The 18,762-nt window shown below is 36.2% G+C and overlaps 1 protein-coding gene across 1 annotated transcript; it reads left to right on the top strand.

Annotated features, from left to right (window-relative positions):
• The first annotated feature begins 12,684 nt into the window (after window positions 1–12,684).
• Window positions 12,685–13,876, top strand: KRTAP26-1 (keratin associated protein 26-1). Its single transcript, NM_203405.2, has one exon. It carries the CDS (start codon window positions 12,965–12,967, stop codon window positions 13,595–13,597), a length of 633 nt encoding a protein of 210 aa, NP_981950.1. The 5' UTR covers window positions 12,685–12,964; the 3' UTR covers window positions 13,598–13,876.
• The last annotated feature ends 4,886 nt before the right edge of the window (window positions 13,877–18,762 follow it).

Here is an 18,762-nt window from a genome sequence, read left to right as displayed (position 1 = left end):
GCAGAGACCAAGAAAATTATTTCATTCCATGTGAAAAGAATGTAAGCAGTATGGGACATAACCAGGATATTCTATGCAGGACTCATTTTTAAGCAATGTCAAAACATACCGGTGGGTATATGCATGCTACAGAGCATTCTTCATAGACCAAGGGACTTCTTCCTGCCTAAAAAGAATGGTAGGATTTGTACATTGGTATCCTGAACACCTCAAGACATTGGTAGTTTAACCACATGTTTTTCTCTTAGAAGTAAAGCATAATGACTATCAAGAATGTCTTCTTGCCTGTACAGTGCTGGGTCAAGAGCCATAAAATAGCTCTTATTAATTGGGTGCTTATTATTTACCTAACACTTTGTACATATTTTATCATTTTAAACTCAAATAACCCAGTGGTATAAGTAACATTAGTAAATCCCCCTTTTTCCAGTGAGGACAAAGGCACAAATTTGTCCTGTGGAGGACAAGACTTTGCTTTGTGTTAGAAGAGAATTACTCATATCTTTCTTTAAGCCACGATATCCTTCCCTAGTTCTACTCTGTCTTTCTACTTTCAAGAGTCTTACTTACTCCCTACTCTGTAATTTAAGTAACTTTTCCAGTACAGGAAGTAAATGGTGGAACGAGGGTTTTAACCCATGAATCTTTAAAGTTTGAGTATAACACTGTAATACTTTAATTGTGCTTTACTTATATTATACTTCTAGTCATTAGAGTAGCTTCAAATGTGGAAGAAATATCTGTGCAATGTGGAGGACCGATACAAATAATTTGACTAAAAATGATTGGTCTGGTTATATTGTATTGCTGTGAGACTGCAGAAGAAACACCCAGAGAACTGAGTATTGTTGACTGGATGGCTCATTTGTAACTCAAAAATAAATGCAATAAAGGAAATGAACATATTTTCATTAGAGTTTGTAAAATATTATGCAATTGAAATATCTTAGAAAAAAACAAATACTAACTTCAAGTCATGTGTCATCAATAGAATCTAGATGCTAGGAAAAGGATTTAGATGGCATGGAGTCAGATTCACCTACAATACAACAATTATCGTCTTAATGGTAGTACTTTCATTTTCCATATCCTTTAGTCCTTATTCTTTTTAAATTAAATACTATTTCTCTTGAAAATTTTGAGCTCATTGTAGACACTAATAGGATTGGACAGGACTTTGCTCCATGTTAGATGAGAATCACTCATATCTCTATTGAAGCCACAATATCCTTCCCTAGTTGTGCTTTCTGTTTTATTTCCAGGAGTCTTACTTACTTCCTCATTTGAAATTCTTTTACCTAGAGAGTTGTTCTAAAATCTTCCACTTGGACTCAAATAATAGTTGATTGAAAAATATTTAAGAAGGAAACAGCTAATATAATTAATAAATCATATTCTGGTTATATCAGAGATACGGCCTTGATGAAGTATAAAATGCATCATAGGTAGATAGGTACAAATACACTAAACATCTAAAGCTCAATTTTAAAATAAAATACAAATCTTTTTGTAGTTGCATAAGAATAAGTTATTTGCCTGACTTTTTGTATAACTTCCTCTAGCTTTACGGAAACAAAGTCACTGATGGCATTCAAAGAGAGTTGTCCCTTGGATCTCAGAGGCAAAACTAATGTAGTTGTATCCAAACTTAAGAACATAGAAATGTTGAGGGTAAATTTCAGAAAATAGTTAAGCCAATTTCTATTCTTCCATTACTCAATGGTACTGGGTCGTTGGCCCTGAAGGAGTTTAGTAACTACTAATTGACAAAGATAATGAGAAAAGAAGGCTAAAAATCAAAGAGAAAGCTAAGAATAGCATCACCCTTATTATTGCAGTGCCTTGTCACTATTACTTTATGGACAGTTGCATGCTCCTTATTTAAATTGACTGTGCAGAGTGAAACACCTGGATTAAAAAGCCCTCTTTCACAATAAACTGTGTCAAAATTTAGAGTAGAGTTATTAGCCATTGTTCTTATCTCCCACTTGGCATGAGCGAATTCACTTTCACACTCTATATGTTAGGAAACCAATCTAATAATGCATGTTGAGATTCTTAGGAACAAAGTACCTTCCTCTAGACCTCATATTTTATTAAATTAAACTGCAGGAGCAAGTACAATAAATAAATTTTAAATTTTAGCTGTTGATATTCACAAGGTTTGTAGTGATTACAGGTGTACTTACCAGATTAAAGTTAGAATATACATTACCACTGAAAGAAACACATCTTTCTTAGAAAACAGAAACAGGCTTCATGTGTTTCTTCCATTTTTCAAGTCTATATTTATTCAGCAGCTTGCTTAAAGTGGGCCTGCTCCCACATTCCCATCTCCCTGAGGCTACAGCTGATGGTGGCTTGGTCCTCAGGAGTCTGGTTTAATTTCCAGCAGTGAATGATGGTGGAGATCAAACCATTGATCTTGAGAAGGTCCTGGAGGGGCTTCTAATGCAAGGTCAGTGCTCCATGGCCCTAAGGCTACAAATGAAATGTTAGGCAATTAAAAAAAACAATATTCTACACTTTGAGCCTTTGAGTTTTCCTTAGAGGACAAATATCAGCCCAAGCTGTGTTTTGCTCTGAAAGATGCCTAATCAGAGTTAAATGTTTCCCAAGCTTCCATCAGATATCTGAGTGAAATGCTGTGGCCTTTGTATTTATGGCAAAGACCAGTGACCATTTTTGCATGGTTTCTTCTGAAGCTGCCTCATTTCTATCACAGTTATGTTTTCATAGAATCACAATCATGTCTAAATGTGTAAGAGATCTTTAGTGAACCTTACTTATTCTGCAGTTGAGCAAATACATCTGCTGAGGTTAAATGAGTTATTCAATTTCACGTGGCTCATTACCAGCCGATCAGGGCTAGAACTCAAGCCTTGTGATGCTCAACCTAGTGTCCTACTGATTGTACATTGAAGTATCTCTCATGAGAAGTTTATTAAGAATATTTAAACATATGAAGCACAATAATTTTAGTGAGCCCTTTATGTACCTTAAAGGCCACACTTAACACATATACAAGTCTTTATTAGGTCATAAATGTAACCTATTTTAAATTAATATTCCAGGTGTAATAAATATTCATCTAGCCACAGAATTTTAAATATATTTTAATAAAACTTGAAATATTGTTTTTCTAGATGCATGGTTTGTTAAAAAGTAAACAAGACCACAGTTCTCTTGCTTTAGAGATTCACTGAGTACTTTTTTCATAGTAATAAGTAGCCATTTTCCTGACATCTGAATAATTGAGCTATGTTCATAACCACATTTGAAATAGTGAGTCAGAATAAAACCTACACTGAATGCTAGTAGTCATTACTAAAAAATTCTAGAAGCCACAGCAAAGAAGGAGAAATAGCATTAAGTAAGTGCGAGTACTTTACCTATAATCTAAACTAAGGTCATCTTGTCTTTCAATAATTGCTCAGGTGAAAACCACAGCTGTCATTCCCTCAGGGGTTATTGCCATGGGGCTGTCATCCCCTCTAATAGCCCCTTTTTTCATGTGACCCTCAGAGATGTCCTCTGCTAAGCCAGGAACAGCTATGGCAGAATCCAGCTCCTGAACTACTGCCAAGAAACCTGAGGGGATCCCCAGCTGCCAACAGCATGCCGCGGACCCAGATCTTGTGAAACCACTCCCTGTACTCCTCTGCTTGTGATGTGTCCAGAACCTGCCATACAATCTTTTTCGTCCTAAGTCTTTACTTCCTTCCACCAAGCAATCTGTGATCAATGTTTTGGACTACATGGACAGCAGTGGCTGTCCCAGGATTCACTGGTCTTAGAGCTATTAACCCCTGGGCTGGCTCTTGCATCTCATTCATGATTGGGATTTAGCAGCTGCTGCCCCGTCGTGCAGCACCTTCACTTGTTAACAAATGATGAGCTATATAATAAACAGCTTTTGCCCCTGACTTGCATACTGTGTATGTATACATATTGTATACTTATGCTTATTGTATACAAATGCATCATATTGTATACATATTGCCATATCTATACATATTGTATACATATTGTATACCTATATATATTATATACAATATGGAAGTCAGGGGCAAAAGCTGTTGCTTATATAGCTCACGGGGGTATTTTGAGTACTCCCTCATAATTGTCAATTCCCAAGTAAACTATCCAAACATTTCTATCTAGCATAGTTGGGGAAAATGGGCAGTCTCATGGAGGGCTATGTTATATGGCTGGATTGCTGTAAAAAATATGTGACAGACCTATTTATTGCTCTCCTATTCCATGAGCAGACTGTTTATTAACTAAACTGTGGTTCACATGTGTCCCTTTTCTTTGTCAGCTTTTTCTTTTAATGCCTTATAAGCCTTTAAGATGTATTTTCAATATGGTATCAAGTTGCTTTCTTTATCTTCTAATAGCTTCGATTAATCTCTACTAGTTATTACTGCATAAATTGCCCATAATTATTTCAATATTATTATGACTATATTATACTTTGACTAAAATGTCTGTGTCTTATTAAAAGATTGTCAAAGCAATAGAGTTGGTGATTATGATGACGTTGCAGTGCCACAATTTCAACTAGAAAACCGAAACCTGTGGAAGGGGCATTGAGAACTGTGAAAAGTCAGAAATTTTATCCTATTTGTATGCTAACAAGTTAACCCGTCATAGTTTCGGGAATGCAGGCAGAAGACATAAGAAGCCTAGGTTAGAGACAAAGGCCTTTATCATTTATGGCAATAGCCGAAGCCAGAGTGTTAGCATTGACACCAGATCCCTGAGCTCCAATTCCCATAGGGCCAGCTGACACCTGCATATGCAGCAGGTTGTTTCACAGGAGAGGAATGTTGAGTTTAGGAACCCTGGATCATAGACATCATGAAGAGTAAGCATGTTTGACATTTGACCCTGAGAGAAACACTGTATCTATTTTCCAAGACTGTTTCTCTAAAAACATGCTTGAAAAGTTAATTTAGAACAAAGGGAGCCAGTGACTGCACTGAAGACATGCAGAAATGCAAGAGACCCATGGGGATTATTTTCCCTGAAACAATACCCAACTCTTATCTCTACACTGCACTGCTCCTGGTGAATTTTCCCATGAGAATGACATTCCACTGACCACTCCGATTAGTCTGACCAATAGAGGCTGCAACCAAATCTATTTAATATATCTCATATATCATTCAGGTTAGAATACTATTAACAAGACTCCAAGTGGCATTCAGTGAATGGAGGCGTCTACCTATGCTAAGTGCTCCAATAACAAAATCATCAGTCACAGTGACTTGTAACTCACAGAGACCCCAAAAGTACTAGCACTTCTATGAATACAGATCTTCACAATCAGTGGAATCCCTTTTGTAATTTATGGAACGGGGTAACATAGTCATATAACACAACAGCAAAAGTATAGTTTGCCCTCTGTATCTGTGGGTTCACCATCTGTGGATTCAACTAATCACAGACTGAAAACATTAAGGGAAACAAAGATGATTGCATATGTGTTGAACATATACAGACATTTTTCCTTATAATTCGTCCCTAGAAAACACATAATAACTATTTACATAGCACTTGCATTGTATCAGCTATTATTAGTAATCTAGAAATGATTTAAAGTAGATGACAGCATGTGTGTGAATTAAATGCAAATACTATATCATTTTATAACAAGTACTTGAGTATCCATAAATTTTGGTATCTGCAGGGATTCTGGAACCAGTCCCCCAAAGATGCCAAGGGTCAATTGTACATTAAACTGACACAAAGGGCTCCACCTAGAAAGTCACATTATTTTTCCTTTCCATCTGTAATCTCTTCCAAAGCCTCATTAGCTGTATTCAAGTATTTCCCTTTCACCTCCACTGGACTGAGTAAAATGGTAACTTGGACACCTGTATCCAAGAGAGCGACAAAAGTTTGAGTTCCTCTTTTTCTTGAAGTTCCTCAATGTATCTGAATGAGTGTATACAGCTTCAGTCTCTCTTGGGGAAAGATATAGACATTGTTCCTACCCTGAATTGTCTTTCTCCTTAAAGTGACTTATGTCAGGATAGAGAAGGAGGAACAGATTAGCAGGTGTGGAGAGACAGATAGCAGCTTAGCACCAGAAAACAAGATGCTTTTACTTATAGTTTTTGGCAGCAAGACATCTGCTAGGGGCTCAAACAAACAAACATGTAATTTTTTAGTCCACCGAATGTTCTATATTAAGCAGTAATATAATCATTATTGACACAGTTTAATTAAGCCATGGAGTAACTGGACCAGCAGTTGCAGCCATGTTGTTTTCCTGCTGCAGACACAAAGTTTGTACCTTTTGGCTACATGAGACTTGAGAGACATGTTTGTTAATCATGAGTATGTACTCCCCCATTATGAAGAAAAATGACTTGTCACAAACTAGGGAAGTTTCAAGAGACTATCAGGAAATTTCTCAGCAAAACCCTTTCAGGCCAGTAGAGTGGAATGATGTATTCAAAGTGCTGAAACAGACAAACAAACACTTGCCAACTAAGAATAATATCCCCAGTGAAGCTGGCTCTCAGAAATGAAAAAGAAATAAAGACTTTCTGAGATATACAAAAGCCTAAGAATTTCCTCAACACTAGATCTGCCTTATAAGGTATGCTAAAGGGAGGTCTTCAACTTGAAATGAAAAGGCACTAATAAGAAACATGAAAACTTGAGAAAGTATAAAACTCACTGTTAAAGGTAAGTATCTACTCAAATTCAGAATACTTTAATATTGTAATAGTGGTATATAAATCACTTTTAACTTTAGTGTAAAAGTTAAAAGACAAAAGTATTAAAAACAACTATAACTACTGTGATAGTTAATTACAGGTGTCAATTTGGCTGGTTAAGGATTTACCAAAATAGTGGGCAAAGCATATTTCTAGATGTGTCTGTGAAGGTGTTTCTAAAAGAGATTAGCATTTGAATTAGTAGACTAAATAAGGAAGATCTGCCCTTATCAATCTGTCAGACCTCATCCAATCCAATGGAGCCCAGGAGGGAAGAAAATGGTGCAGGAAAGGTAAATTTCCTCTCTCTTCTGGAGCTGGGAGAGCCATCTTCTCCTGCTCTTCAATACTGGAGCTCTTGGTTTTTGGGCCTTTGGACTCCAGGATTTACACCAACACTCCCTTCCCCAACCCTCCATGGTTCTCAGGCCCTTGGACTCATATTAAATTACACCAGTGACTTTTCTGGTTCTCCATCTTGCAGATGGCATGGATGGAGCTTTTCGGCTTTCATAATCATGTGAGTCAATTTTCATAATAAATATCCTCATATATTTATATATATTCTATTAGTTTTGATCCTCTGAAGAACCCTAATACAGCTAAAATAATTTGTTAATAGATACATAATATAAAAAGATGTAATTATGACATCAATAACAAAATATGTGTGTGTGGGGAAGAAGTGTAGAACTTCTGTATGTGATCAAAGTGAAATTATTGTCAGCTTAAAATAAACAGTTAGAAGATGTTTTATGTAAGCCTTATGGTGATCACCAAGAATAAGCTGTTGTAAACACATTAAAATTAAAAGAATCAAAGCATACCACTAAGAAAAAATCGTCAAATCAAAAAGAACAAGGAATCACAAAACAGACAGAAAACAATTAAAATGGCAGTAGTAAGTTCTTGGCAGCAGTAAAGTAATCAAGAATTACTTTAAATGTAAATGGATTTAAATATCCACTTAAAAAATACAGGGTGGCTGAATATATTTTTTTAAAAGATCCAACTAAAATGCTGTCTACAAGAGACTCAATTGAGAGTTTAGAACTCACATAGGCTGAAAGTGAAAGTTATTCCATGAAAATGGTAACCAAATGAGAGCAGTGGTGGCTAGATCTTCTACTGTGCAAAATAGTCTTTACACCAAAAACTATCATAAGGACAAAGAAGGTCATTATATCATGAAAAAGGAGTCCATTCATAAAGAGGATATAACAATCACAAATACATATGCACCCAACATTGGAATACCTAAATATAAAAACAAATATTAACAGAACTGAGGGGAGAAATTGACAGTAGTATGATAATCACAGGAGACTTTGATACCCCGGTTTCAACAGTGGATACATCACCCAGACAGAAGATCAAAAAGGAAACAGCAGACTTACCTAACAGATTTATACAAAACATTTCATCCAACAGGAGAAGAATACACATTCTTTTCTAGCACACACTAAATATTATCCAGGATAGATTATGGGTTAGCCCCCAAAAAAGTCTTAGGGAAATTAAAATCATATTAAACATCCAACCATAATGATATTAAACCACCAAACTAGAAATCAGTAACAAGAGGAAAATTGAAAAATTCACAAATATGTGAAAATTAAACAACACACTACTGAACAACCAATAAATCAAAGAAAAAATCAAAAGAGAAATTAAAAAATATTGAGACAATGAAAATGGAAGCACAACATTCCAAAACTTTGGAATGCATCGAAAACCATTTTAAGATGTTTACAGCAAAAAATACCTACCTGAAAAAAGAAAGATTTCAAACAACTTAACTTCTCAAGAAGTTAGAGAAAGAATAACAAACTAAGCCCAAAGTCAGCAGAAGAAAAAAAAATAGAGCAGAAAAAAGTCAAATAGAAAATTTTTTATAAAATTAGGAAGATTTGTAGAAGTAAGGCTTGTTGTTTTTTAAACATTTCCAAATTTATTTTACAAAACCAGCATTACCCTGATACTAGTGTTGGTCAAGGATAATAAAAGATAAAACAGAAATGAAAACATAAACTGGAAGCCAATATGCCTGATTAAGATAGATGCAAAAGTCCTCAACAAAATACTAGTAAGCAGGATTCAATGGCACATTCAAAGGATGATACAACATGATTAAGTGAATTTTATTCCTGGGAGGCTAGGATGATTCAACACATGCATATCAATGAATGTGATACACCAAATTAGCAGAAAGAAGGATAAAAGTTATCATCCCTATGGATGTAGAAAAAGCATTTGACAGAATTCAACAAACTTTCACGATAAAGACTTTAACAAATTAGGCACAGAAGGAATATACTTCAACATAACAAAGTCCATATATGACAGACTCACAGGTGAAACACACAATGGTGAAAACCTAAAAGCTTTTCTCCCTAGATCAGGAACAAGACAAGGATGCCCACTCTTTCTACTTCTATTCAATATAGTACTAGAAGTCCTAGCCAGAGCAATTAGTCAGAAAAAAAAAAAAAAAGAAAATCACCCAAATCATAACGAAGTAAAATTGTCTCTGTTTGCATGTGACACGATTCTATACATTAGAAACCCTAAAGACTCCACCAAAAAACTATTAGAACTAGTAAATATTAACAGGCAACCCAAAAAAGTAGGAGAGAATCTTTACTGGGAAGTAGAGAAGGGCCAGACAAGTGTCAGAACAATTCTCTGTTGACAAAGAGAAATCATCCACTTTTTTGAGAAAGAGAATCATATGATGAAATTAATTTCATGAGTATTATTTCAAATGCATTATTTAGGCAAAATAGAAGACCATAGGGACAGAAGTCAAAGGTGGCAGTAGGAAATTCACTGAAGGAGAACAAAAAAGCCCAACTTAAATCATTGCCATGATAACAGAAAGAAAAAAATGGAAAGAAATATATAATTTTAGAAGATAAAGGGAGAAAAGCATAACAGGTTTTCCCACTTTCCAATCTATGCTGCAAATTAACCTCAGCACTCTCTTCTTGAAACACATTACTGGATCACCACACCTTTAGAACAATATCTTAACTACTTCCCCCAGTAATTTCAACATGTGAATATGAGTTTGCTTCTTAGAATCCTTCACTGGGAAGCTCTATGTTGTCATTTTCTCTACCTTGACATCTTCTTCCATAGCCTAAAGTGTTTTCCTCTTCTCCAAAGCCCCTTCCATCTTTCAAAATTAATATCAAATGTTAAATTTTTGGTAAGGTGAATGAACTATGTTTGCTCTTCTCTGTACATTACTTACGGAACTTAGTAAACACTGACATGGGTTATGTACCTGTCTTATCACGCTTACCAGATAGTGTACATCTGAGAGCAGAAACCAATTTTATGTTGGTTCCATTGCCAGCATCTATCATAATGTTTTGCACATACTACATGCTCAATAATATTTGCTGAATGGATGAGTTAAAAGTACCTTGTTTATTGGCACAACTTTATTGTTGAAATGTTCTGGGGATTTTTTGTCTCCAAGACAGAGAAACTCAGAATTCTCCTTCTACAGTAGGAGAGACAAAGATCCATGGTTTATTAAAAAAAAAAAAAAAAAAAAAAAAAAAGCAACGCCATGGGTAAATCTGGGAAATCACACAGGATGCCCAGTTCCTCCGATTATCCCTGGGCTCTTAACTCAGAAGAGAAGTCTGAAACATGTAGTTTATAGGATCCTGCTAATGAGGTACCTGGTATTATGCCCAAATAAGCAATTCTCTATTAGTGACACAGCCACTATGAAATAATTTTAGTTCAACCTATATTACATGAAGGACAACTTATATTCAGGGTACTTCACTTTCTGAAGATCTGTTGATATTTTTGCAATTTTACCCCCCCACCGCCCCCCCCCCCCCACACACACACGAGAAACTCATGGTGGTGCTCTAAAGAAATTAAACCCAAGGTCGTACTCTCCAGAATGGGTTAAGAACGCCAAAGCAAGAAAATAGATTACTCTTGTATAACGTTTTACAGTTTATTTTAACTTTTAATGACATCTCAATATATTCCTGAAATGTCACTGAAAAGTAGATACTATTAATATTTCCATAAAATTATACTGATAGTGACTGGGGAGCAGAGCAATTATGCAAATTACCCAATTCACACGGTTATTGGTTATTAAATGATAGTATCAATGCATCTCTATGTAATGCCATATTGGATAGAGAAAAACTGTTTGGGGAGTCAAGGAGCCTTTTTTCAGATGTTTTTCGTAATACCTATTACTGCAACTTTCTAAAGCTCAAGTTTTCTCGTATGAGTACTTGAAATAGTAAGATCTACTGTATAGAATTGTGAGGACAAAGTGAATGGCACATGTGGGCACCCACAGCACAAGGTTCTTCAGAGTAGGCATTCCATGAATGCCAGTTTCCTCTTATTCCACACCCCTTCTCTTCATGGAAAACCATCCATGTATACATAGAACATGTAGTATATACATCTATCCACACATACACACAAGCGTATTGATGTACTAATGATACAGATGTTGGGCTCTTGTTTATATTAGAGAAGAGCAGACATAAAAAGGATCAACATACAATTTCATAAGCATTCAGCTAAATATGACTGTACCTATTACTAACGCCATTCAGCTGATGCAACCAGGATTTTACAAGAAGACTCTAGCAGCTGTATACACAGAGTATTAGGTGATGTCCGAAGTATACAAAGTATCCGGTTATACAAACAGTATTAGGTGATGAGGGCCTGGGGTTGGGGGTTGGAGTGAGTGGGGCTTTCTCAAATACATCAGGTACAAATCGTCTGACCTAAAATACTGAGATAAATTCAACATGTTAGTACAGGACCTCCGGGATTATACCATTTTATTTTTATATTTCTCCCCCAGTAGTAAAATAGTCTAGTGTTGTCTCATTGAGAAACCAACTTTCTGTTTCAGAGATTTCACTCCTCCAGGACAGAGGGAGACTGGATAAGCACAAGTATGTCCCTCAAACACCAAAATAGAAGAAAGTGTTATGATTTAAATTGACTAGCCAAAAGGAATTGGAACTTAGAGCCAGCAGATAATTTAAAATCCCATTAAAATAGCTACTGGAGCCACTGGGTATGTCAGTATGAGAAAAATATAGAGGGATAGTTGAAACTAACTAAAATCATACATTTTTTAAAACAATTTTACCAGAAATACATATTCTCAAATGACCTTTAAAGTACTAAAACTTAGGAAAACAATAATTTATCCTGATGCTTTTCCCTATGTAAAGCAGTTTAGAAGCTCCTTTTTGGAAATTGACATCAAGGCCAATGTAGAAAGCAAAATAAATTCATGTCATAATCAGTGTATTTTTTAACCAAGAACAATATTTTTTCAGTTGGAATATGAGAAACCATGCAATACATAACCTTGAAATAATCATGAAAAATGTCAAGATGCCTGACTTTCTTTAAGAGGTCTACTTCTCTGCTTTTGTTCACAGTAGGATACATAATTTTAACTTGGCCCAACTTCATTATCTATATTCAAGAATATCTTAAACATAAGCCAAGGTTTCAGCTTCACTCAGCTTATTTATTTATTGAAATGACTAAAATGAGCACATATTTTTGAATAAAGATATTTTGGTAGAAAGTCAAGTCTGAATAGAATTCTGAAATAAAGCAAATCACAACTTAGAAAAATAAATTCTAACCAAGCAAAACATATTGAAATTGTCCATATTTCTGTCATATAGTTTGCAAGGATTTTCATTTTCTCTTATACTTGTTCCAAGTTACTCACTTCTGGCAATTTCCAAGAAGAATAGAATTTTTCTTCAAAAAGATGTAAGTTCTCACTGTTTCAAAGAAGTTGCTACAACTTTCAAAGACAATTCTAAGAGAGGAATCTTAAGAATGTTTGTGCAATGGTGGTTATAATTGGAATAAGCACATAGGCTTTAAAATGTGTCTGTTTTGTTTGGATAATTTAAGAAGGATAGATCCTATTAAAACTCAGTCGCATTGGTTTATAGATAGACGTAATCAATGGATGGCATTGCAAGGAGCATCCAGTTTTATGGAGGGTGGAAGCCTCACTTCCTTGGCTATAATAAAGAGTTCTGATGCATCTTCATACAACAAGAGGAAGAGTCTGCACGCAGAAGCACCACCTTCTAGGGATAAATAAAGGGTCAAGCTAAGGAAGGGCAGAACAAACTTCAGACACTCACTTCTTTGCCTCAACTTCAGCCTGCTCTCACAACCTCACTATGTCTTGCCCCAACTACTGCTCGGGAAACTCCAACTCAGGATCTCTCAGAACCTCCCGCCATATTCCTCTCACCTCCATCGACCTCTGCCCTACCAGCGTGAGCTGTGGAGATGTCCTCTACTTACCCACTAGCTCTCAAGACCATACCTGGGTCACAGACAACTGCCAAGAGACCTGCGGTGAACCAACCAGCTGCCAGCCGGTCCACTGTGAGACCGGCAATCTTGAAACCTCTTGCGGTTCTTCCACTGCTTACTACGTGCCCAGGCCTTGCCAAGGAAGCAGTTTTCTTCCTGCTTCTTTCTTCTCCAGTTCCTGCCTTCCAGTATCCTGTAGACCACAGAGGTATGTGTCCAGCGGCTGTCGTCCACTGAGGCCGCTGCTCAATAGTTACCAGCCCATAGGAGACTGTGTGCCCAATGCCTATCGCCCCCAATTCTGCTTGTCCAAGAGTTGCCAGCCCCAAAACCTCCTCACTTCTGGATGCCAACCCTCGAGTTGCTTGGCCTATCGTCCTCAAAGTCTTCACGTTGTGTCCAGCAGCCTCAGACCTCTGGGGCCTCTGTTCAGTGGTTGCCAACCTCTGACCCATGTGTTCAGCACGTGTCGTCCATCTTGCTCTGGACTGTGAAACCAGCAGCTTCTTTGTTCCAGTGAATAATCACTCTGAGCATCCACAACAAAAATTCAAACTCCATGGACTTTTGCTTCTTTGCTAGTAGCAACTGATGTTTCTTAGTTTTACTGTGCCTGATCTAATGCAAGCTGCTTCTCTCGCATGTTTTATCTTGTTTTCATCTTTCCTTGACATCAAAAAAATTAGTTTACAATGCTATTCAATGTTGCTCTGGTCTGGGAAGAATGTATTTGTTTTGCACTATAATAAATGCGATTAAGTCCAAATTAAGAATCTGGTTCAGCGCTTTGTGTTTCATGACTTAATTTCAACACAGAAATAACCAACGTCAATTGCTTGCAAGATGACTGAGCTGGACAAGTGATACTCAACCATATATTCTTACCTGACAGTAGAGGGATTGTTTGATGGTTTATTCCTTAAGCTGCTTTTTAGACTTCTGACCCTATGTACTTGAGAGACCCAAAAAGTCCTTGGGAAAGCTGTTTTGAAAAGGAAAAATTAGGAGTGATGTCTCTTATCTCTCTACCCCATGAACACACTTCCACCAGAATGTTCTTTCTAATTGCAAACCTAACCAAGTTTCTGCTTACGCCTTTGATGGCTTCCTATAATCTATTCCCATAAGATAAATATTCAAACCTCTTAGCATGACACCTAGTTCCCTCACTGTCTTTCTCCCCCATACCTCTCTGGCTTCATGCTCTTTTGCTCAATATTGCAAATAATAAAACTAAGCTCCTGCGATCCTGACTTACACATGGGTCCCCAAACATATGCTTTTTACAGTCATCCATCCTTTTGCATAGGTCATCATCGAGAGCGGTATGTTCTTCAGCTCTGTTTTGAAAACTCATACTTGCTTTTACAAAAACACAGTCTTGAGTTCATTAATTAATCTTTTGATTTATTCAGAAACAAAGGTACTGCTTGCATACTATATGCCAGGCACAAAAGATACTGAGGTGAACAAAACAGTCCTGAACTATCACAGAATTTGCCAGAAGTTATAAGCTATGGGACATGTAACAATTAAAGATACATTTTTTCTCTCACTCAACCTAAAATGTGTGGGGGCATATATTTCATTAATTAAAAGGAAATAAAGTTTTAAAAGCCTGAATATTTACCTTTTTGAGGAACTGGAATAGCTAGAAAAGCTAGAAACTGTATCACTGTGCAAGAAAGTGATTGGCAGGCAGCTCGCAGTAACTCCCAGCTGTTCCCTTTAGACAGGGCACACACTTCTGGTTCTCAGTTCAATCTTGCCCTAGAGACTTCCTGACAATGAAGCAGAATGCCAGTTCCACTTACTATCATGATCATGCCACTGTTGTTAATTTCATTCTGGTTCATTATTTGCCTTATTTGCTTGCTCTCCTGGATATTTTGATTTTGTGACATCTGTATCCCCTATTTTTTGAAGCCTTTCCCCGGCCCTCTCTGTGCCTCTTACCCTAATCACACATTGGCTCAGCCTGAATTTTATCTCAGCCATATGTCTACTGTTAATCTTGTTGAACTGTTATTTTTAACATCATTTTAAATGAGATTTTAGTTAACATATAACATACATAACTAATTTTTGCATGTTCTTGAACTGTAAAATGAAATTATAAAGTATTTACCCATTGGTGTCTGTCTTCTTGTACTAAATATTATGTGTGATTTTTCCATATTGTTATATGTACCAGTAGTCTTTTAATTTTTTGTGTACATAATATTCAAGGTTAAAACACCAAAATATATTTATACATTCTTTTGTTGATGAGCCTTTGGGTTGTTTCTAGTTTGGATCTATTAGAATTAGTGTACAGAATATTCTTGTATTCTTCGGCTATATTTTAATACACATCTGTATCTATTTCTATTCTGCAATATGTGTAAGGGTGGAATTAAGTTATGTAGGATGTGCTTGTTCAGCTCTATTTTACACCATTACAAAGTTATCCTTGCAGTTATGCTAATATTGACTTCTACTATCAGAGTATGAGAATTCCAGTTGTTCTACACCCTCACCAACACTTGAAGTTGTCAGCCTATTTACATTTAGCACTTCTAGTGAGAATGTAATTCTAAAAAATGTTTGTTTTGTTTTTAATTTTCTTGATGGTCCATTGAATTGAGCACTTTTTAAATAAAATGTTTCTTGTTTCTTGGCCATTTAAATTTTTTGCTTGAAGTAACATCCATGTCATTTGTCCCTATTTTTAGTAGGTTTGTCTGTCTTCAGGATTGGATAGTTCTTCACATGGTCTAGATATTAACTCTTTGTTGAGTATACATATTTAGCTTAACTTCTTCCATATCATTCCTTGTCTTTTTATGCCCTTAATGGTGTATTTAGATTAACAGAAATGAATCTAATTTATTGATCTTCTGTTTATAGTTAGTAATTTTCTCATCCTTTTAAATAAAACTTTGTTTACCCCAAATTAATAAAAATATTAACTTTAGAAACTTTCTTATTTGATTTTCCACATTTAAATATGCCATCAATGAAAAGCTGTTTGTGTGTTTATGTGTGTGTGTCTGTGTGCCTGTGTGTGATGTGAGTTAGGGGTCAAAATTCTGTTGAATCAGCACCATCACCTAAAACTCTCTCCTTTTTCTACTACTCTGCAGTTCCGTGCCCCTTTTTTCGTAAATACATTATCTTTAAATGGATGGGTCTATTTCTTGACTCTGTTCTGTTCTGTTGACTAATTGTCTAGCGTTACCTCACTAACATGTTTTATTTTTCATTATTTGCATTTATAAACTCTCCTCTACACTTTGAGCCCTTCAAATGCTGCTTTTGTGGCAGTACCATGACTAGGCTCTCTGTAAATGTTTATTGATTTGAATGACAGTAGATTGCATTTTGATTGGATGGTGATGAGAAATTCACATTTTTTCCTTTGGAGTTTTGTTTTACGCTATCTTTCCTGAGTCTGGGGGAAACAAATGTTTGCTTCTCATTTCCCCACAGCTTACAAGTCCAAGCGCTAGGAATTAAGGAAAGTTCTGTATCAATTATCCCGTGACTAGACAGGACCTGCTAATAGCTATACCTTAGTCCACCTTTGATACTTGTCTATTGCCATCTATGTCTGATTTAGTATTTTATTAATTTAATTTCTTTAATATCCAGCGCAGTAGCTCTAATTGTTCATAATTTAGCCACAGTCATAGAGATTGTAAATTACTTGTCTGAGATTTATTTTTAAGTTTTCTCAAAGTCTGTGTTTCTCCACAGTAAACTACATTACAAGTGTAATATGAAGATTTATTTATTTAAGCAAATTACAGGGCAATGTACTATCTGATAAGTTTTGACTTCTAGTTGTATAGGTTTTATTCCCATGAGTAAGGTAAGTGGAGGGTAGGTCTTTAGGCTCCTCTTTTCACAAAATTTAAATATTTCTTTATTAATATTCAGGTACCATTGTGTTCCTTGTGATTAACCTTCTGGATGTAGTCATTTTCAAACTGGATTTTATAAAAGCTGACGTCATTTTGTCAAACCATAAGGACAAATAATACATTGCCCTTTTCAACTGAACTTTAATCAAGAAAGCGTAAGTCTCCATCAAAAGCAATTGTGAAGCATCACTACTTTTCCTTAATTTCAACATGAGACTCCACATACCAAATACATAAGAAAGACACACAGAATCATCTTCTTCTTTATCTTGATTGAAATGGGTTGAGGTAAAAGTAAACATATACCTTAATAATTATTAGAGTCTTTAAATCAGTCATACATAAGAAAAATGAAAACAGAGTTAGTCTAACAGATTATTCAGATATTTTGAGGGTAGAATTTGGATTCTGAGTCTTCTTTCTAAACTTAACTCTGAATAGTCACTTGCCAGTATAAACATTAATTTCATTCTCCACTGAAACTATATTTTTGCTTAGAGAATTTTTCCAGAAATTAATGAAAGTGATGCCATTGGGGATGATGACTCAAGGAATGTATGGATTTCTGGTTTCAATTCCAACCCGTAAGGAGCTTAAGAGTCACCAATATTGTCTTACAACAAGAAAACAATGGGCAACTTGAAAATCAATGACTTTTCCTGAACCCATCAAAGAGCTAAGTCTGGAGGGCCAAATTCCACTCCAAAATCTGGGGAGGCAGGTGAGTCTAGAGTCACATCTGGAGTATGCTTTCCTAGAGCAAAAGCTGCTGAAGCCATCATCTGGTAGGAACACTTAAATCATAAATTTGAGGAATTTCTGGAGGCTGAGTGTGTACCAGCATGTGTATCCAACCCTCCTAGCTGCTACAGTCTTAAGGATGCCTCATACCTCATATACTCCATGGTTTTTGCCTCTAGGGATCCCACAGGTTTCTCATGGAAGAAATCCAAGGATGATGCCAAAATGGCTCTGTCAAGAGAAAGAGAGGAATAATCCTAGAAAAGCATGCTCAGAACCTCCTCCATCATAAATCCTTACTCTTCAGGAAGAAAAGACTTTACCAGGACCTTATTCAACTCAAGGAAAGGGTATTTTCCCATTCCACACGATGCCTGCACTACCTTTTCTGGCTCACCTAAGTAGGGAGGACAAAGAAATACCAGTGAAGCTCACAGCTCAGGGACACAGGTCCAATAAAAGACTGAGGTTTAATTATAAGATTATGAAATGCTTCGCCTCTCCTCCATCTTTCGCCCCACACCGGCAAGGCTCCAGTTTAATAACAGTGGATTATAGTTGAAAGGGCTCCATGAAACAGATCGTCTCTAAGGAGGAGTACTTAGGTCAGCTGAAAGCCAAGAGGGTAGACAAAAATTAAGGATAATAGAGAAATCTGAAGCCTCTGACACCTACAACTACAGCAGGTATTAAACACAGCCCAACTTCTAGCCAGAATCATTTCAAATCTAACATTAAATGCCAATTTGCCTCAGTTCCTACTACTGAATATAGCACAAGTGACTTTCAACAAAAAAGTTAAGAGACACACCAAAAGGCAATGAAAGCACAGCCTCCAAAGTAAAAGCAAGCATCCACATCAGACTCAAATATGACACAGACATTGGAATCATCAGACACAACTTAAAATAACTCTGATTAATACATTTAGAGTTCTAATGGGAAAAGTAGATATAATAACATATAAAGACAGATGGACAATGGAAGCAGGGAGATAGAAATTTAAAGAATGA

Source organism: Homo sapiens, chromosome 21, assembly GCF_000001405.40.
Source record: "Homo sapiens chromosome 21, GRCh38.p14 Primary Assembly".
Lineage (NCBI taxonomy): Eukaryota > Metazoa > Chordata > Mammalia > Primates > Hominidae > Homo > Homo sapiens.
The sequence above is the reverse complement of the archived record's forward strand: the minus strand, read 5'-3'. Positions and strand labels throughout refer to the sequence as shown.